Source organism: Homo sapiens, chromosome 5 (assembly GCF_000001405.40).
Source record: "Homo sapiens chromosome 5, GRCh38.p14 Primary Assembly".
NCBI classification, from domain to species: domain Eukaryota; kingdom Metazoa; phylum Chordata; class Mammalia; order Primates; family Hominidae; genus Homo; species Homo sapiens.
The window spans coordinates 88,587,267-88,609,682 of NC_000005.10; the positions used below are offsets into that span (position 1 = coordinate 88,587,267).

General features: G+C 37.7%; 1 long non-coding RNA gene and 1 pseudogene across 5 annotated transcripts in view; one reads left to right on the forward strand and one right to left on the reverse strand.

Moving 5' to 3' along the window:
- Positions 1-22,416, reverse strand: part of MIR9-2HG (MIR9-2 host gene) — a 152,776-nt gene that overhangs the window by 49,001 nt on the left and 81,359 nt on the right. The window lies entirely within an intron of this gene.
- H3P23 (H3 histone pseudogene 23) lies at positions 15,405-16,051 on the forward strand (annotated as a pseudogene).

Consider the following 22,416-nt stretch of genomic DNA (forward strand, 5'->3'; position numbering starts at 1 on the left):
TGTTCAGGCTGGCAACAGGTCAGTGCCCCCTGGGACAGAGCTTCCAGAGGAAAGAGAAGGCTGCCATCTTTGCTGTCTTGCAGCCTTCACTGGTGGTACCTCTGGGAATGGGAAAAACCGAGGCAACTATGATTGGAACAGACTCCCAGCAAACCACAGCAGCCCTATGGAAGAGTAGCCTGACTGTTAAAAGAAAAACAAACAGAAACCAACAACAACATCAACATCAACAAAAAAGAACCCACAGAAACTCCATTCAAAGGTCAGCAACCTCAAATATCAAAGGTAAATAAACCCATAAAGATGAGAAAGAATCAATGCAAAAACGCTGAAAACTCAAAAAGCCAAAGTGTCTCTCCTCCTCCACATGACCACAACACCTCTCCAGCAGGGGCACAGAACTAGGCTGAGGCTGAGATGACTGAACTGAAAGAAGCAGTAGGCTTCAGGAGGTGGGTAATAATGAACTTTGTAGAGCTAAAGGAGCATATTTTAACCCAATGCAAAGAAACTAAGACTCATGATAAAACAATATAGGAGCTGAAAGCCAGTACAACCAGTTTAGAGAGGAATATAACCAACCTGATGGAGCCAAAAGACACAACATGAGAACTTCATAATGCAATCACAAGTATCAATAGCAGAATAGAACAAGCAGAGGAAAGAATCTCAGAGCTTGAAGACTATCTTTTTGAAATAAGACAGGCAGACAAGAATAGAGAAAAAGGAATGAAAAGGAATGAAAAAACCTCCGAGAAATATGGGATTATGTAAATAGACCAAACCTAAAACTGATTGGGGTACCTGAAAGAGATGGGGAGAATCGAACAAAGTTGGAAAACATACATCATGATACCATCCAGGAGAACTTCTCCAACCTAGCAAGACAGGCCAACATTCAAATTCAGGAAATGCAGAGAACCCCAGTAAGACACTCCATGAGAAGATCAAACCCAACACACATAATCATCAGATTCTCCAAGGTTGAAACGAATGAAAAATTGTTAAGGACAGCCAGAGAGAAGGGTCAGTTCACCTACAAAAGAAAGTCCCTCAGACTAATAGCCGACTTCTCAGTGGAAACCCTACAAGTCAGAAGAGACTGGGGGACAATACTCAACATTCATTTTTCTTTTTTTTTTTTGTGAATGGGCAGTGGCTCACCTCATGGTGGACTGCCCACCCTAATATTCTTAAAGAAAAGAACTTCCAGCACAGAATTTCATATCCAGCCAAAGTAAGCTTCTTAAGTGAAGGAGAAGTAAGATCCTTTTCAGGCAAGCAAATGCTGAGGTAATTTGTCACCACTAGGCCTGCCTTGCAAGAGTTCCTGAAAGAAGCACTAAACATGGAGAGGAAAAAACACTACCAGCCACTACAAAAACACATTGAAGTACCCAGACCTGTGACAATACAAGCAATCGCATAAACAAGTCTGCAAAATAACCAGCTAGCATCATGATGACAGGATCAAATTCACCCATAACAATACTGACCTTAAATGTAAAATGGGCTAAATTCAACAATCAGAAGATACAGAATGGCAAATCTGATAAAGAGCCAAGACCCATCAGTATGCTGTCTTCAAGAGACCCATCTCACATCCAAAGACACACATAGGCTCGAAATAAAGGGATGGAGAAAAATTTGCCAAGCAAATGGAAAACAGAAAAAAGCCAGAGTTGCAATCATAGTTTCTGACAGAACAGACTTTAAACGAACAAATCAAAAAGACCAAGACGGGCATTACATAATGATAAAGAGTTCAATTCAACAAGAAGATCTAACTACTCTAAATATATATGTACCCAATACAGGAGCATGCAGATTCATAAAGCAAATTCTTAGAGACCTACAAAAAGACTTAGAATCCTACACAAGAATGATGGGAGACTTCAGCACCCCTCTGTCAATATTAGATCATTGAGACAGAAAATTCACAAAGATATTCAGGACCTGAACTCAGCTCTGGATCAAGTGGACATGAAAGACATCTACAGAACTCTCCATCCAGAAACAACAGAATATATATTCTTCTCATAGCCATATGGCACTTACTTTAAAATTGATCACATCATTTGAAGTAAAACACTCCTCAGCAAATGCAAAAAAAAAACCTGAAATCATAACAAATAGTCTCTCAGACCACAGCACACAGCACAATCAAATTAAAATTCAAGATTAAGAAATTCGCACAAAACCACACAACTACATGGAAATTAAACAACCCGTTCCTGAATGACTCTTGGGTAAATAATGAAATTAAGGCAGAAATAAAGAAGTTCCTTGAAACTAATGATAATAAAAAGACAACATACCAGAATCTCAGGGACACAGATAAAGCAGTGTTAAGAGGGAAATTTATAGTACTAAATGCCCACATCAGAAAGCTAGAAAGATCTCAAGTTAACAACCGAACATCTCAACTGGAAGAGCTAGAGAACCAAGAGCCAACAAACTCCCAAGCTAGCAGAAGACAAGAAATAACCAATATCAGAGCTGAACTAAAAGAGAGAGAGACACGAAAAACCCTTCAAAAAATTCAACAAATCCAGGAGCTGGTTTTTTTAAAAAATTAAAAAAAATAGACCACTAGCTAGACTAATAAGAAAACAGAGAAGAATCAAACAAACACAATCAGAAATGATAAGGGGTTATTACCACTGACTCCACAGAAATACAAACAGCCATCAGAGAATACTATAAACACCTCTATGCACATAAACTAGAAAATTTAGAAGAAATGAATAAATTCCTGCACACATACACCCTCCTAAAACTGAACCAGGAAGAAATTGAATCCCTGAATAGACCAATAACAAGTTCTGAAATTGAGGCAGTAATAAATAGCCTACCAACCAAAAAAAGCCCAAGACCAGACAGATTCACAGCTGAATTCTACCAGAGGTACAAAGAAGAGTGGGTACCATTTCCACTGAAACTAGTCTAAAAAAAATTGAAAAAGAGGGACTCCTCTCTAACTCATTTTAAGAGGCCAGCCTCATCCTGATAGCAAAACCTGGCAGAGATACAAAAACAAAAGAAAACTTCAGGCCAATATCCTTGAGGAATATCGATGCAAAAATCCTCAATAAATTACTGGCAAACCAAACCCAGCAGCACCTCAAAAAGCTTATCCACCACGATCAAGTTGGCTTTATCCCTGGGATGCAAGATTGGTTCAACATAAGCAAATCAATAAATGTAATTCATCACATAAACAGAACTAAAGACAAAAACCACATGATAATCTCAATAGACACAGGAAAGGCATTTGATAAAATTCAACATCCGTTCATGTTAAAAACTCAATAAACTAGGTATTGAAGAAATGTACCTCAAAATAAAAGACAAAACCAAGCCAATATCATACTGAATGGGCAAAAGCTGGAAGCAGTCCCCTTGAAAACTAGCACAAGACAAGGATGCCCTCTCTCAGCACTCCTGTTCAATGTAGTATTGGAAGTTCTGGCCAGGGCAATCAGGCAAAAGATGGAAATAAAGGGATTCAAATAGGGAGAGAGGAAGTCAAATTATCTTTTTTGCAGATGACATGATCCTATAAATAGAAAACCTCATTGTCTCAGCCCAAAAGCTTCTTAAGTTGATACACAACTTCAGAAAAGTCTCAGGATACAAAATCAATGTGCAAAAACCTCTAGCACTCCTATACACCAACAACAGGCAAGCAGAGAGCCAAATCATGAATGAAGTCCCATTCACAATTGCTGCAAAAGAATAAAATACCTATGAATACAACTAACAAGGAAAGTGATGGACCTCTTCAAGGAGAACTACAAACCACTGCTCAAAGAAGTCAGAGGAGACACAAACAAATGAAACTACATTCCATGCTCATAGATAGGAAGAATCAGTATCATGAAAATAGCCATACTACCCAAAGTAGTTTATAGATTCAATACTATTCCCATTAATTATGATTGACATTCTTCACAGAATTGGAAAAAACTATTTTAAAATTCATATGGAACCAAAAGAGAGCCTGAATAACCAAAAACAATCCTAAGAAAAAAGAACAAAGCTGGAGGCATCATGCTACCCAACTTCAAACTACTACAAGCCTACAATAACCAAAACAGCATGGTACTGCTACAAGAACAGACACACAGACCAGTGGAAGAGAATAGAGAACTCAGAAATAAGACTGCTCACCTACAACAATCTGATCTTTAACAAATCTGACCAAAACTAGCAATGGGGAACAGATTCCCTATTTAATAAATAGGGTTGGGAGAACTGGCTAGCCATATGCAGAAAATTGAAACTGTACCCGTTCCTTACACCTTATACAAAAATTAACTCAAGATGGATTAAAGACTTGAGTGTAAAACCCAATACTATAAAAACCATAGAAGAAAATCTAGGTGATACCATTCAGGACACAGGCACAGGCAAAGATTTCATGATGACAATGTCAAAAGCAATTGCAACAGCAGCAAAAATTGACAAATGGTATCTAATTAAACTAAAGAGATGTACAGCAAAAGAAACTATCATCAGAGTAGACAACCTATAGAATGGGAGAAAATTTTTGCAATCCATCCATCTGACAAATTATGTCTACATAATCTATTATGTCTACATTATAGACATCTAATAGATGTCTAATATCCAGAATGTACAAGTAACTTAAACAAATTTACAAGAGAGAAACAAATAACCCCATTAAAAAGTGGGCATAGAATATGAATGGACACTTCTCAAAAGAAGACATACATGCAGCCAACAAACATAAGAAGAAAAAGCTTGACATCATTGATCATCAGAGAAATGCAAATCAAAACCACAATGAGATACCATCTCAGTCCAATCAGAATGACTATTACTAAAAAGTCAAAAAACAACAGATGCTGACAAGGTTGCAGAGAAAAAGGAACGCTTTTATACTGTTGGTGGAAGTGTAAATTAGTTCTGTGGAAGACAATGTGGTGATTCCTCAAAAACCTAAAGGCAGAAATATCGTTTGACCCAGGAATCCCATTACTAGGTATATACCTAAAGGCATATAAATCATTCTATCATAAAGATACATGCACATGTGTGTTCACTGCAGCACTATTCACAATAGCAAAGACATGGAATCAACCTAAATGCTTATCAATGATAGACTGGATAAAGAAAATGTGGTACATATACCCATGGAATACTATGCAGCCATTAAAAGGAATGAGATTATGTCCTTTGTAGGAACATAGGACATGTTCCTATTGTCAGAAGTTGGAAGCCATTATCCTCAGCAAACTAACACAGGAACAGAAAATCAAACACTGCACATTCTCACTTACAAGTGATAGCTGAAGGATGAAAACACATGGACACATGATGGGGAACAACACACACTGGGGCCTCTTGGAAGGGGCATTGGGAGAGGAAGAGCATCAGGAAGAATAGCTAATGGATGCTGGGCTTAATACCTAAGTGATGGGATGATCTGTGCAGCAAACCACCATGGCACACATTTGCCTATGTAATAAACCTGCACATCTGGCACATGTACCCCTGAACTTCAAATAAAAGTTGAAGGAAAAAAAAATAAATACAATAAAGTAAAATACAAAAACAAATAAGCAATGTAATTTCAAAAAGTGATAAGTGCTACAGATTTTGTGGTAATACGACCAAATGGAGGGATTAGGATGAGAAGGAAGACCTCTCTATGCAGATGGCATTTAATCTGAAAGCTGAATGAGGAAAAGGAGCGGCCAAATGAAAATCTGGGGAAAAAACACTCAGGTAGAGGACACAGAAGTGCAAAGGCCACGAGGCAGAAAGGCACTGCCTTGTTTAAGAAATAGAAAGAAAGATAGTACCTGGTACAATAATGAGGCAGAAAGTGGAAGGTGGCACGGTCCAAAATGTGGGCAACAGTTACAGTACCTGGGACCGTGTAGGGCTTTTCAAGAGATTGGGTTTCATTCTAAGTGTTATGGGAAATCTTGTGGAATGTTTAAGCAAGATAGTGACAAGATCTGATCATGAAAGAGAAGATGGACAATAGAAGGGGCATAGTGGAAGCATTGAGACAAGTCAGGAGGCTACTGCAATAACATGGGCAAGAGAAAATTGAGTTGTGGTGGTGGAAGTAGAGAAAGTTAACTGATTAAAAGGATATTTTTTTGGAGGAATAGTCAACAGAATTTACAGATGAATCAAACATGGTCGGGTCAGAGTGGGAGTGAGGAAGAAAGGAAACAAGGACATGTCCTATTACTAAATCTATTAGGCCTGGTTTGTTGAGTCCTTTCAAATATCTAACAATTTAGTTCTAAGGCAAATAACAAAACAGGAAATGCAGAGGGGATTTCAGCTCAACTCTGCCACAAATCAGCTGTGTGATCCTATGCAAGTCACTCTGGGTTCTTCCATTCCCTCAAAGAGCCCAAGGTCACTGAGGCAAGACTTGAGAATTTCCTTACACTTGGGTTAGTAGAGCAATGCTACTCTCCCTAAAGGCCCCAGTGAACTCCCACAAGTCAAATCCAGTAGCTGCTTTCCTAGCCAAGAACAATCCTAGGCAAAAAGAACAAAGCTGGAGGCATCACGCTACCCAACGTCAAACTATACTACAAGTATGAGCCCTTGACATTCTCTCCTCTCTTAGCTTTCACAGACCCATTCCCTCTGGTTCTCCTTCTTCGTCTTGGATTATGCCTTCTCTTTTTCTAACCACATATATCTCTTCTTTTTTTATTCCCAACATGTTGTGATTCTGTAGGGTTCTTCCTTCAGCAGCCTACATCTCACCCTACATCCATGGCTTCAACTACCTTTATGGATTAATGACTACCAAAATCTATAGATCCAGGCCTATGCATCCAATGACTTAGTGGGTTTTTACTTACTGAAATTTCATAGTCACTTCAATGCAATAATATGTCTTCCTCCTATTTACCTATTTGGATAAATAGAACCAAGATTCACATGCTCATTAGAATAATAATAATATTAAAAGTTCAAACATCTACTTTGAAAGTTCTAGGGCCTTCCAGATAGTTAATATGTCACTGTCACTTCCTTTGACTTCCCACTGTTTTTGCCTTAGCTCTGGCTGTCATCATCTCTTACCTGGACCATTTCAACAGCCTTTCACTTTCTCCGTCAGTCTCCCTAGCATCTACATCACAGTCAGGGTGATATTTCTAAAATGCAAATACAATTGATCTGATTCTGTCATTCTCCTGCTTACAATCCTTCAATAGGCTGCACACCACCAATTCAAACTCCTTGGTATGGCATTCAGAGTCCTCTGTGATCTATCTCCTGCCCATCTGCCCAGCTTCCATATAAGGAACTTACATAAACCCTAATCCAGAGCATACCTGGAGTGTTTTAGTAACAGCTGGGAGGCCAGCGTAGCTGGAGTGGAGTGAGCAAGAGGGATACTGGTAGAAGGTGAGATCAGAGAGGTCATGGGAGGCAAGGGACAGGATTTCAAGTAGGGAGGGAGAGAAGAAGAAGGCTGAAATGGCCACCAGCAGATGTGTCTGCCTCCTCTGAGACTAAACAATAATCTACCCTGGGCTTAGTTTGAACTGATCTTAGTCTGAACTCCCATCTCAGACCAGGATACCTTGGAAGAAACACAAAATTAATTTTACCATTTCAAAAGTAGGATGATAATCACACATACAAAGTGAGGTAAGAAAAACTGACACAATGTGCATAAAATTGGTATAAGTATATAAAAGATTATTTATTCATTCATTTAAAATTCATTAATGGAGCACCTACTATGCATCAAGCAAAATGCTAAGGATAAAAAGTGACTAATAAACTGGTGAATAATTACTGACCATTCATTACTTGAGAGTTAGAGTCTAGAAGCAAAATGATTTAAAAAGGCAATGAACTGCAGTGCCATAACATTAAAGAATGACACTGGAATAAGCAAAATTTCCCTGACCTCACCTAGGAGGCAGGACATTTATTTAAGTGATTCTTCCCACTTTTCCACTTCCTTTTATTCAAACCATTTGTTTCTAATATTCTTTATATAGCACCCATTTTTGAGAAGAGTAAAGCTAAATAAATGTATTGGAAAATATTAATGCTTACAACATTCATGAACTAGCCCAGAAGACATTTCTAAACATAAAGAAACAATTTCTTGACAAAATAGCAAAGATTAAGGATCGGGGTTCTCTGCTTCTCTATTTGTGTTTATCACTCTTATCATCTTGCTATTTTCCACCTTTCTTGAACTGTCTAGTGTACTGAAGTTTAAGGAATATATTTTCCATGATATTCTGCAATCTCCCCAAATTAGTTTCTTCCAAAATATTTGTTTTAAAATTGACAATAGAAATATTATTAATTTTATAGTACACAAATAATTAAGATCATCTGGAAGAACATAAAAGTTGAGCTTAATTAACATAAAATTTCAATCATTCCCATATCTCTTAACAAGTGCCTTATATATGTGAGTACGTATGTGTGCAGTGTGTACACACATGTGTGCATCATGTGTCTCTTTAACATCTTTCTTTAATCATATAGTTTCTCACCTAAAAGTGAAGACAGCACAGTATATATTCTAGTAGGCAACCCACTTAGGATGTTAGATTTCACCCTTGGCTTTCCATGAATAGTCTTGAAAAGTAATCTACTTTCAACTTACCTACTTACAACTGAAGGCATCTCCTTTCAATTGTAAGGTTAGGAATTCTATGAACAAAGCTTATTTTAATTTGAGATGTTTTTCTAACCTAATAATTTAAACCTTTTAAATGGCTGTTTTACAACATAAATTTCCATTTTAATCTGTATACATTAATTTTGTTTAAAAGAAAACTGTCTAATTACTGCCTTGGTACTTTGACCATAGAGCCATCTCAGGGTGTAGGTGTATTCTGTGGCTTTCTACCTGTGTCTCCATGTGCCCTCACTGCCTATCCTTCCCTGCTCCACAGTCATTGTCACCCCCACTGTCCTCCATGCCTGTAAGCCTGGCTCTTCAGGGTTAGAAAACAGAGAAAGAGACACCCTCTTCAAGTGGCTATTGCTAAAATGCCCCAAGGGCATGCCCTAAACACATCCTTATTACAACAAGACCAGATTATTGCATTAGTTACCGTCATAAGAACACAGAAAGATACAAATAGAAGTTACCGAATTCTGGCTCTACAGGTGATGCCTCTAATAAATTAAAAATAGCAGTCCTTCAGATTTATGTAGTTTCATGGAGTTCACAGAGGATTTTCTTATGCATTATGTATTTGATCTTCATAAGCATCTGGATCTATTATCTCTCTTTAAAGATGAGGAAACTATGACTCACAGAACTAGACCTCCCAACCCACACTATCCACTAAACCAAAATGAGATCCTTTGAAGTGGGAGGGGAAAGGAGGGCTAAGGAAAGACTAGCCAGGACAGTAGGGAAGGAAAGGCAGAATAAAGTAGAGGTTGTCAAAAAATAAGTATCACCATTTGGCCCCAGACTCCCCACCTATCAAGTTGGTGGAAAACATTTCCACATTTATATTACTTACGAGATTGCTGCTTTCCTTCTGATTACCAGATGTTTACTAAGAGGGGGAAAAAGCTACTACAAATAAACTAGAAATCAAATGTTTGTGTGGACGGCAAGCTCTAATAAAACAAACTAAATGATTTGGTCATTTCCTTGACCAACCCTAATTTTTGCCTTTTTGTGGCAATTCAGTCAGGATTTTCTAGTGTAGACAAACATAAAATTAGTTCCTATAGTGCTTTACTAAAGCATGGGTTATTTAAGTAGAATTTAAAGGGAAATTAAGAATTAGGGCTACTTATTTAAAGACCAAATTTTTACGTAATAAATGTAAAAGCATAGTATCCATGAAAACAAGCACACAAAAATGCCATAACAACAAGTAAGAAATTATTTGGCAGAGAGGCAACCAAAGCATACAAGGCCATTTATTTATTTATCCATTCATTAATTCTTTTATTCTTTCGACAAATGTTTATTGAATATTTACCAAGGGGTCAGGACTATGCTAAAGAGAAAGATAAATAAGACACGACCTCTGCTCTTGAACAGCTCACATCCAATGAGATCTATACCATAAAGTGAATAAGTGACTAAAGAGCACAGTAAATGCTGTAATACAGTTATAAATCAAGTTCCACGACTGTACAAGAGAATGGAGCAGTTAACTCCATGTAAGGATAGATGAAGACTCCTTGAAGACAGGAGTATTTTAGCTACATCTGAAAGTTTGCAGACATAAATATTTTAAATGCATATGCTTGTTGAATGTAAGTGAATGTGTTTACAGTCAAGGAAGGGCAAAAGTAGAGTAGGAGCTTGTCTTTTCCTTTTTAAAGAAGAAGTGTGTTCTAGAAGAAGTTTGCCATAGAATTCCTGCTGAGATAAGAGCCAAAACCAGCAAGGAGAACAGTAAGAGGAAGTATAGGCAGCTAGGTAGATTAGGATAGAGACACGTCCTGGATCAGGAATCATCCTAATGTAGATTTGATTTGGAATAGGAGGTGTCAACATCACCCATTTACAAAAACAAACAAACAAACAAACAAACAAAAATGTATAGCAATGCCCTGGTGCCATGGAAGTGCATAGTCCAAAGCTCTAGTAATTTAATGTCTAAGAGTTTGTTGCAAATTTAAGCTAAAATGCATTCCTCCATAAGACGCTAAGGCGTTTTTAAGATATTTTGAGATGGGACCAGGCTTCAAGGAATGAAAAAGACCTTTTGAGGGTCTAGTGAGCACTGGAAGAAAACACCAATGAAATCCTTACTCTTCCACATTTGGCCCTACTTTTTTTAATCCATAGATACATAGCCTTTGAAAAAAAATTTCATGTTTTCATTTAAAAGTAGCACCACTAATGTTTTATTGAAATACATTACTAATAATAATATTTATTAATAAGTCCCTAAATGTTCCAAAATTGATCTTATAAGACCCTAGAACCCCAGCACACTACAATTGTGGCATATATAAAACACGTGGAATGCTGAGGATGAAGGAAAGGAGCTTTTTTGGTATTTGGTGGAAATTGACAGAAAGCATTTTCAAACTTCTCAAATTTGAGAAATAGATTTTTTAACATTATTTATCTTTTTGGATCAGTTTTCAGAACAGTAACTTTGTTATCAAGAGTGACTAATGAGTATGCTTTTTAAAATCATTGAGATTTTAACATGCTTGCTATTTTTAATCCATTGTAGTATTTTATGTAGATTTATGTATATATACTTATTTGTGACTGTTGACATTGCAACAATATTCAAGAATATTTTGGAAATAATCACTTATCCTCTACCCAGTTTTTTCTTTTTTTTGCTTATTTTCTTTTATAAGCATAGTTGTAAAAATCAGAATGTTTTTAATGTTTTAATGATTTTAACATTCAGAGTAATTAGACGCTGAAAGAGTCCCTTGAGAGAGAAAGTTGGGTAATCACTGATACGAAGTGAACCAAAAAAATACTAGGTAGTCTCAAAACTGAAGAACAAGGCCTGAATAATCGGAAATAGCCAAAGGACATGTTGGTGATTGTGCTATTACAGAGGCTAGTTCTTTATAATAGTTATATTTTAATACTTTGGAAATGGATCAAAAGCAGAGGTCATAGTTGAAAGATCAGAGGTGAAGTAACAGGGAAAACATAATAATGAGCTTTTACTTTAATCACTTAATGCACAAGTTTAAGTCTGATTTTCTTTAAACAAAGGACTATTATTTGAAGAACACCAAAAGACCTTGACAAAGAGAAGATTATTTGAAGTTTAAGTTCTAAACTCTTTTAAGGGTTTAAAGTATTGTGAGGAGACCCTTTAAAACACACCACCACTGTTGGGGACTCAGCAAAAGTGAAATGAGGAAGAACCCTATTTTTAATATCTTTGAAAAGGAGATTCTGCCTTTAGAAGAGTTATCCAGAGTTCACAGGTTGGAAAATCAGCCTATTATAGCTGGTTTTGCATCTGGCAATTTTAATAATCCTTGGACTGACATGATGAACTAGATGAACCCTTATGGGCACTTCCAGACCTGCAAGCCTATGATGTCCTTTCCAAAATAAATCCTTGATGTACCACAAAGATCAGTTTGAAGTATCTGAGAATAGCTGAAATCAATGCCCTTCTTTCAATATCTTTTGGAATATTCTTGGCTAAAACAAATTTCTCTTATAGGCCTTAAAAATGTGATGATAATCTGCGCAACTGAACTGTGTAGGCAGCTGAAAGATAAATATATACTAATCAATCTATTAGGCAAAATATTTTTTAGTAATCTCTTAATTTTCCAAAGTTGTATAATAGCTAAAAATTCATTTCCACTTAAATATTTTAAAAATATCTCTCATCTAGAAACTTCTCTTTGGATCACTTAAAATTTATTGCTTTCTTAAACAGAATATTAAAATATTTTAAATCTCCCAGTTCAGTTCATTTGCAGACATAGGCTGAGCTGCATTTCAATTAGTTGTGCAAAAGCCATACTTTTTCAAAGATGTATATAACTTATATTTACACAAATATTCCTATAAAACTCAAGTACTTCACAGAAGACTGAATGAGGAAATGTTTTATTTTAATATGTATAGTGTAACCTCACTGAAGAATTTTTATGTAATTTTATTGCTGTCACTTAGAGCCGTGGTCCCCAACCTTTTTGGCACCAGGAACTGGTTTCGTGGAAGACAATTATTCCATGCATGATGGCCAGGGCAGGGAAGGTGGAGAGGAGTGGGTATACCAGTCTGTGGCCTGGGAGTCAGGGGACCCCTGACTTAGAGCAACTCTTAAGAGTTGCTTTAAGAATCTCTTTTACCTACATTGTAGACAGATAAAGCCTTCTAAGTGGTAGTACATGGATAGCAACTAAAAACTGTAGCTAGATAAATAAGTGAATAAAACATGTTCTTCAGACATAAACATTTTCACAGAAGTATTTAGGAGTGAAAAGATTTACTACCTGGGATTTACTTTAAAATCATACAATAAAAATTAATTTATCATTAAACCCTTTGACATTTGACTGATTCTATTTTTTCTATCTTACCATTAATAACTGTACATTTTAAAAGTTTTCCTGGCATTCTGGGCTTTCTTTTCTTTTTTCTTTTCTTTTTTTTTTTTTTGAGAGGATGTCTCGCTTTGTTGCCCAAGCTGGAGTGCAGTGGCGCGATCTCAGCTCACTGCAAGCTCCGCCTCCCAGGTTCACGCCATTCTCCTGCCTAGCCTCCCGAGTAGCTGGGACTACAGGTGCCCGCCACTAGGCCCAGCTACTTTTTTGTATTTTTTAGTAGAGACGGGGTTTCACTGTGTTAGCCAGGATGGTCTCGATCTCCTGACCTCGTGATCCGCCTGCCTTGGCCTCCCAGAGTGCTGGGATTACAGGCGCGAGCCACTGCACCCGGCCACATTCTGGGCTTTTTTAAAAAAGACCTTGATTTGCATAAAATATAAATCTTTCCTTTTAAATGTAAATACTAAATATTGTAAATCCCAAATCTTTTATTGCACTATCCAGAAAAACAAAATAAAATAAAAGCTTCTACAATGAAAATGTCTTTAAAGTACTCATGAGCATGGCAGGGGGGTGTTGGGGGAATTCTGTCAACTCAGAATTTTATATCCAGAGTAAATATCCCTTTAAAAATCAAATGGAAAAGAATAAATAACAAATAAAAGCCTCTGATATGAAGTTAGTTTATTTCAAGTTGTTAAGATTGTTGTTTTTTCACATAGTCACACACACAGCAAATCGCAAGCCACACTAAGAACAAATATTAGGTAGGTTGGTGCAAAAGTAACTGTGGTTCTTGCAATTACTTTTAATCGCAAAGCAAGGCAAGAGAAATTTGGTTTTCAACATTGTTGAGTGCAAGACAAAGCAAAGCCAAATTTGCAAACCACATTTCTAGCCTTCCACCTTCCCAAACTGCTCCTCCCAGTGCCCCCATCTCAGCAAGCGGCAACTCCAATCTTACAATTGTTCAAGACAAAAATCTTAGAACCATCCTGGGCTCCTCTCCCTTTCTCACTTCTCTCATCTAATCCATTAACAAAACAGGTCAGCTCTATTTACAGAGTATGTCCAGGTCTCTGACAGCTTCTCGCCATCTCAATTGCTACCAGCTGGCTTCAAGCCACTGTTAGCTCTTATCTTACTGTAGTAGCCTCCGAGCTGGTCTCCTGTTTCTGACCCAGACCGGGACAGGATATTGTCAACACAGCAGCCCACAGTATTCTTTTTCATATAAAGATCAGCCCACATCATTCCTCTCCAGTGATTTTTTTTAGATCAAAACTCCAACGATTTACTATCTCAATCAAAGTAAAAGCCAACTCAGGAGGCTGAGGCAGGAGAATCGCTTTAACCCAGGAGGCGGAGGTTGCAGTGAACCGAGATTGCACCACTGCACTTCAGCCTGGGCGACAAGAGTGAAATTCTGTCTCAAGAAAAAAAAAAAAGAAAGAAAAAAAAAGTGAAAGCCAGAGTCCTTACATAACTTTCAAGGTCCTACATAATATGATGCTTCATTTTCCTCTGATGTTATCTCCTGCTCATTCTGCACCGCCTGCACTGGCCCCTTCAAACACTTGAAGCATGCTCCGTTCGGAGCTTTGAACTTGCTGTTCCTCTGCCGGCAGCACTCTTCCTCCAGCGACGCTGTCTCCCCCAGAGAGCTACACAGCTTGCCTCCCCACCTCTTTTAGTTGTCTTTAAATGTCATCTTCTCGTGAAGATGAACTGCCCTCATGCACAATTTTAAATAGCAATCTCTGCTCCAAAGCCCTGATCCCCTTCACTACATAGCACTTGTTACCATCCGACATACTATATGTTTAACTTCTTTATTTGTTTATTGTGTCTCTCACCCCAACTGGAATATAAGCCCACTGAGGGAAGATACTGATATCTGTTTGGTTCACTGCTGTGTTCTTGACATCTAGAAAAATGTCTGCCTTAATAAATATTTATAAATAAATGAATGAATAAACTTTAAAAAACAGATTTTCAAAGCACTTAATATTTTCTCATATGCAAGAAATTCAAATAAAGTACTGACTTTTTTCTTTCACAAACCAAAGACCTCTTCTCTTTCCTCAGGTATATTTCTAGATGATACTTCCTCCCACATTCTCACTTAAAAAATTCACTGACCATGAACAAGCATTAAGATAGCTCTAAGGCATTATGTTTCTCAAGCAAGAGCCACATTGAAAATTCCAATTTGGGAGACTGGTTTTGGGTGGATTCTGAGTTCTGAGAATCCAGAAAGAAAGGAAAAAACATATTTAAACATTCAAAATTCCAAGTATACCCATCAATTCCCAAAACTTTTGGGGTAATCAAATTTTATTCCTGTGCCCAGTTCAGAGTTTGTAAATAACACTTTCTACACTCACTACAGATGACGCCGCCGGGCCGCCGTCGCCCTCTAATGCTAGCGCCGCCTCTCGCTTGGCTGAGCTCCAGCCGAAGAAGGGGGTTAAGCAAGGAGGTCTTCATACCGTGGTGCCTGCAAAGCGGACTGCACGCAAATCCACGGGTGGTAAAGCACCCGGGAAGCAACTGGCTACAAAAGCCTTTTGCAAGAGTGCGCCCTCTACTGGACGGGCGAATAAGCTTCATTGTTACAGGCCTCGTAGTGAGGCACGATTCGCAAACTTCCCTTCCAGCGTCTGGTGTGAGAAATTGCTCAGGATTTTAAAACAGATCTGTGCTTCCAGAGTGCAGCTATTGGTGCTTTACAGGAGGCAATTAAGGCCTAACTGGTTGGCCTTTTTGAAGACACCCACCTGTGTGCTATCCATGCCAAACGTGTAACAATTATGCCAAAAGACATCCAGCTAGCATGCCGCACACATGCTAGCACATGGAGAACGTGCTTAAAAATCCACTATGATGGGAAACATTTCATTCTAAAAAAAAATTATCTTCTTCCTGTTATTATTGGTAGTTCTTAATGTTAGATTTCTCCCCGCCCGCCCCCTCCCCCGGCCCCATGGGGTCTGAAGGTACCTAAATTTATGATTGCGAGTGGAAAAATAGGGAATAGAAATCAGGGATTGGCAGTTTTTCCATTTTCATTCGTATGTGAATTTTTAATATTATGCGGAAACACAAAGCGTTAATGCAAGTCAAAACGTTTCAGTGAACAGGTGTCAGTGGTTCAACTTTATAATAATTATAAATAAACGTGTTAAGTTTTTCTGGACAATGCCAGCATTTGGATTCTTTAAAAAACAAGTAAATTTCCTACTGACTGCAACTAAATGGTGTTTGTAGCATTTTTATCATACAGTAGATTTAATCCATTCACCAAATGTTTCTGAGTTGTACTACATGCAAGTACATGTTTTTAATGTTGTCTGTCTTCTGTGCTGTTCCTGTAAGTTTACTATGAAAACACATTAAGCCTAAAAAAAAAAAAAAAAAAAAAAAAAGAGGCTACAGGTAATTTCATAACTGTCCTACACCCACATTTGCCATTCCTTCAATTTTTGAGACACATACCCAGAGATGAATATATATGTTTGTCTGGCAAAGATCAAGCTTGATTTCAGGCTCCTCGAGGACAGGAAAGGTAGCACACACTTTTGCTTTTATACAGTGCACAGTGACAAGCACTGAGCTTACACTAGATATACTGTGATCAGTTTCCTTGTCCAGGCTTTCCCGCTAGCTGAGTGACCTTAAGTAAGTCATCTAACATCTCTAGACCTGTTTTCTCCCTCTCTTCAACCAAAAAACCAACAGAGTTGAACTGGTTGATCTCTGGGGCCATTTCCAGCCCTAATAGTCTAAAATGTATAACTCTAAATGCTACTGTAAGTTACTATTTTGTTTATTCCATCAGAGTTTATCAAACTTGTCATCGATGCTCCCAGATGCTTCTGTTTTTAAACTTATCATGTATTTTTTATTATAATTTACAAATGCTCTTTAACTTATAGCCATTTTCTCTTAACACAAAATTGTGTTTGTTGATAGTAATGAGCTGTGGAGTTTTGCTGGTCCTTATTCAAACAAAATCTTGCTCTGAGACTTACTAGGAATGTTTTGGGAGGAATCCTTTAAATATTTTCATCTGTCTTACAGCTATCACTCCCTGATGGCTAAAGTCCTAACTGGCTTTTTAGATTTATGATATTAATGAACCTTGCTTATGTCGTTCAAAAATTTGTGTTACATTTATAGCAGCCCTTGACTATGTGTCATGCCACTCCCTACACAATTAGACTTTAGCAATCCCACTTATCTTGCTTCTTTCTTTTCTTTTTTTAACCTTTCTCTTATTGTTCTTATCCTTTCTTGTGTAAAATTCTACTGCTTTCTTGTCAAAAATGCCTAATTCTGTCCTTCTAACCCAGTAATTCTGATTACCTTCAATATTGCTATTACATAGTACTTGTACACATTGTCTATTCAGTCTTGAACAATCTTTTTACAGAGATTGATAACTCTTAATTCCTCAAAGGAAAGGTGCCTACAGAGTATCTAACGTTACCATTTGTCGGAACATACTTAAGAGGATTTGCTGACAAAGTCATCTCTATTCAAATTGCATGTTTAAAAACAATACCCAAGGAATTGGGTTAAACGAAAATAAAACAAAAAGTCAGTAGTTATTGAGGCAAATAATATCTTCATTAAAACACTGAAAATCGGCAGGGCTCGGTGGCTCACGCCTGTAATCCCAGCATTTTGGGAGGCTGAGACGGGCGGATCACGAGGTCAGGAGATACAGACCATCCTGGCTAACACGGTGAAACCCCGTCTCTACTAAAAATACAAAAAATTAGCGGGGCGTGTTGGCGGGCGCCTGTAGTTGCAGCTACTGGGGAGGCTGAGGCAGGAGAATGGCGTGAACTCGGGAGGCGGAGCCTGCGGTGAGCCTAGATCGCGCCACTGCACTCCAGCCTGGGGGACAGAGCGAGACTCCGTCTCAAAAAAAAAAAAAAAAAAAAAAACACTGAAAATTTATAATTATTCTTAAATCCATGTAACTAGTCTCATTCATCTCTACTAGTCAGCTGTGCTTAGAACCCCAACTGCCTGCAGTATTGACTGCTGGCGGCTCACAGTGTGTCCCTCCATACGGGATCACCTGTGACAAGGGCAGCTGCCTCTCCCAAGATTCCACCCCCTCCCTGATGACAGCCTGCACACAAAGGTGGCCAACATGGATAAAAGCCTTGGCCCCTTGCCTCAGTTTGAGACAACTCTAAAGGGCAAGCCCAGTTCTGGCACTTTCAATGGGATTCCTTATTCCCAATCCTGCTTCCCAAGATTACTCCCAATAAACGTACTGCACTCAAATCTTCATTTCAGGGTCTTTGTCTAGGAAACCCAGCCTAAGGCAGGAGATACAAGCCCATTAAATCAAATATTAAGACTTATAGCCTGGTTCTTTTTTTTGTCTAAACTAGGTCTGGCAAATAGATTTCAATAAGAGTGTCAGTTTATATCCACAGGTTAGAACTGCTTGAAGTATCATCTTGAAAATGATTCCAAGGGTAAGTCTGCTGATTTGTAAAGAGTACCATGATCAATTTAGGATGTCTTCCAAGGATGCAGAAGGAAGCAACGATGGAAAAGTGCCAGGGATCTACCACCTCTGCAGCATCTATTGGGTTTGCCTGCCCAGTACTCCCTTTTCTGATAGCAAGACCCTGATTTTACCTTGGATAAACACCCCTCTGCACGACCCCCACCATCTCACCCTCTCCTACTCCAAAGACAAAACACCCTAGGACTGAAATCAGCCAATCTATCCACCGGCCAAAGTGAATTTTCAAAGATAGGTATGTGAGGTAGGTCAGTCTGTTGAAAGTAAATCATTTCAGTGAACTTTCAGAACTTTTAGCTGTGATTTTTTTTAGGCATGAGAATGTAAGTCTAAATATGCTGTAATCATAACCTGAGGATAATCTACTTCAGTATGAATTCTATATAGAGGAAAGAAGAATTGAAAGACTACTACAACCATACCTGAAGTCAGTCCCTTGGATTTCTGAGTTGCACGAGTAAATAAATAATTTCTCTTTGAATTAAGCCATTTTGACTTGTGTTTTGGTTTCTGGCAACCAAAAGAGTCCTGACTCATGTACTTAAATTCATATCTAGTAACCCAGCTATGTATGAGGCAAGAAACTATAGAAGGTGGAACAATACTAAATATTTTGACTCATATAAAGGATGATTGTGCACAATGAATGTTTTATTTTAATTTATTCATAATCATTTTTATTTCAGAAATATTGAGGGTCACTTTTTTCATGTAATGTGATTTCATACATTTAGTTCTAAAATTCACTGGGAAATTCATGCCAAAATGTGTCCCTAGAAGTAGATTATTTTGAACTATTTATAATACCTTTATATTATTGTAACCCGGATACCCTGTCCAGAATTTCAATTTCATAAGCATAATTTGGAAAACTATAACTGTTAACCAACATTCATTATGTGAATAATACCTAACGTGAGTCAAGTTTTAAACTGCTTCTAAATTGACCGTAACGTGGCAGGAACAAATAAATGAATTAGACCTGAGGCTATCCACATGAGCAATCCAAACATATTCTATTGGTATATCTCATATAATAATAGCTGATACTAAACATTTACTAAGGGCCAGGAACTATTCTAAGCACTTGATAGACATTAACGCATTGAATTTCAACAATAATCTTTTGAGACAGATGTTAACATTTTATCAGTTATATAGAAGAGACAAGTAATTTGCCCAATGTCACACAAACAGTAAGTAATGTGCCCCAGATTCAGATCCAGACTGTTAGATCTCAGAACCAGGATACTCTACTCATACATAGTTGCTGTGACAGAGCTCATTATAATGTTTAGACTCAGGACCCCATTTTCTTTGTGCAGATATAGTTGTTTTCTTGCATATGAACCTGGCCTAATCAGATAAAGCCAAGCCTGGGGCAGTAGACTTGGGACAGTCCAAACACCAGTGCCTTTAAATATTGTGGGCGAAACTTAAGGCAGTCCAAAAATACCCCTCTCACCAACAATAATTCAGTATTAATGTGTTGTTTCACGGGAAACAACTGTGTTTAAATACTCCTGTTAAAATAAAAATTAGTTTCTTGAATAAGTAATATACTCATCAACATTTGAGGGTCAACTAACTATCCAGCTGGTTTCCTAGCAAAGCTTGGGAGAATTACCAGGTAAGAAAGGAAAGGGAAAGTTCTAAGTTCTAAAGGAGGCTGAAAGAATGGGTATTGCAAAATTTTTTGTAATATAGTTTCATATTTGTATGTGAAAATCTACATTCTATGTCATGAATTCTAAACTTTTCAAATCATTAATAAAATCACACCATAAGACTCATAAGAGGTGGATTAATATTTACTGAACGTGAGAATGTGCAGGTTCAGTGATAGATGATTCACTCACACACTCCTCACCCTTTGGCTTCTTTCTCAAACCATTTTGTGGCTTCCACCTCCACCCCCTGAGAGTATTACTTATATCTATTTTTTAATCACCCTAAAACATGTTTAATGCTACAATCATGATATCATATATTTCTCATATTACCAATAAACAAAGGGAAGTTTTCAAGTATTGGGGGTTAAAAAGTCTTTTAATAGGCCTTAGATGACACGTAGGTATGAAAGGGTAGGTAGTGTCATTAAATGCATTCATAATCTAATTTGGCCAATTATAGCATTTATTACAAAATGAGCACCAGGAAAAAACATAATCGCCAGCCTCTTAATTTGGGGGAAGGAGAGTGCTATAGACTGAATGTGTCCCTGTCAAATTCATATGTTGAAATCCTAACTCCTAATGTGATTAGACAGTGGGGCTTTTGAGAGATGATTAGGTCATGAGGGCAGAGCCTTCATAAATGGGGTTGTGCTCTTAAAAAGAGACCCCGGAGAGCTCTCTTGCCCCTTCCACCATGTGAGGACACAAGAAGATGGTTGTCTATAAACCAGGAAGTGGGTGCTCTCCAGACATGGACTCTGTTGGCACTTTGATCTAGGATTTTCCAGACTCTAGAATTGTGAGAAATAAATGTCCGTTGCTTATAAGCCACCCCATCCATGATAGTTTCGTATAGCAGCCAGAATGAACCAAAACAAAGAGGAATAGGTTAAGAAAAATTACCTAAAATTCCACGACCTCTTTTAGTTATAAGGCTTCTTTTTATTTCAAGTTATATGTTTTATTCTTAGTCAATGGCTCAATAGATTTTTAAACTGAAAAAAGAAAACAAAACAAAAAAAACCACAAAAGATTACAGGATGTGAAGAAAAAGTGAGAAAAGTAAGAAAGGTAGAGAGATAAACTAGAGTGGAAGTTGGGGAAAGAGAGTTGAGACAGACCTATTTTATACATGATATGGTTTGGCTCATGTGCCCTGCCCAAATCTCATGTCAAATTGTAATCCCCACATGCAAGGGGAAGAACCTAGTGGGACACGATTGGATCATGGGGGCAGATTTCCCCTTTGCTGTTCTTATGATAGTGAGTGTGTTCTTACGAGATCTGATGGTTTGAAAGTGTGTGGCATTTCCCCCTTCTCTCTCTCTCTCTCTCTCTCCTGCTGTGCCATGGTAAGACATGCCTGCTTCCCCTTCACCTTCCAACATGATTGTAAGTTTCCTGAGGCCTCCCAGTTATGCTTCTGATTAAGTCTGCCGTACTGTGAGTCAAGTAAACCTCTTTTCTTCATAAATTACCCATTCTCAGGTAGTTCTTTACAGCAGTGTGGGAATGAACTAATACAATACCAAGAATTTTTACAGTCTTCACCCACTACAGAACATCTACAGGCACATACCTACTGCTTTTCTCTAAAATCTCGCCATAATCTGATACACTTTCCACCACTCTCATTCCCCACTGCTCCTCCCAGTTTGGGGCTGAGTTTCTAGTAGATGAAATCACATAAATAAATAATGAAATAATTTTAACTATTAGCAACTTCATTCATTTATACAACTGTGTCAAGCTCTGTATTGGCCACTGAAGATTCCATTGTGAACAAATCAGAAATACAATCCAAACCATGTATACAATTTTAAATTTTCTAAAAGCCACATCTTAAAAAGGTAAAACAAAACAGGTGAAAATAATTTTAATTACATATTTTATTCATCCCAATATATCCAAATTTTAACATTTCAACAGTTAATCAAATTTTAAAACATTAATGGGACATTTGCTTTTTTCAAATCAAGTCTTAAAAATCTAGTGTTTATTTTACACTTATAGCACATGAGTTCGATAGCCACATTTCAGATGCTCAACAGCCACATGTGGCTAGTGCCTATCAGGAGACACAGAATGTCTTGTCTTTCTTTTTACAATACTAAATTAATCAGTGGATTCAGATGTAGTCAACTTGATCTTTAATCAGCCATTTATTATCATTGCCTG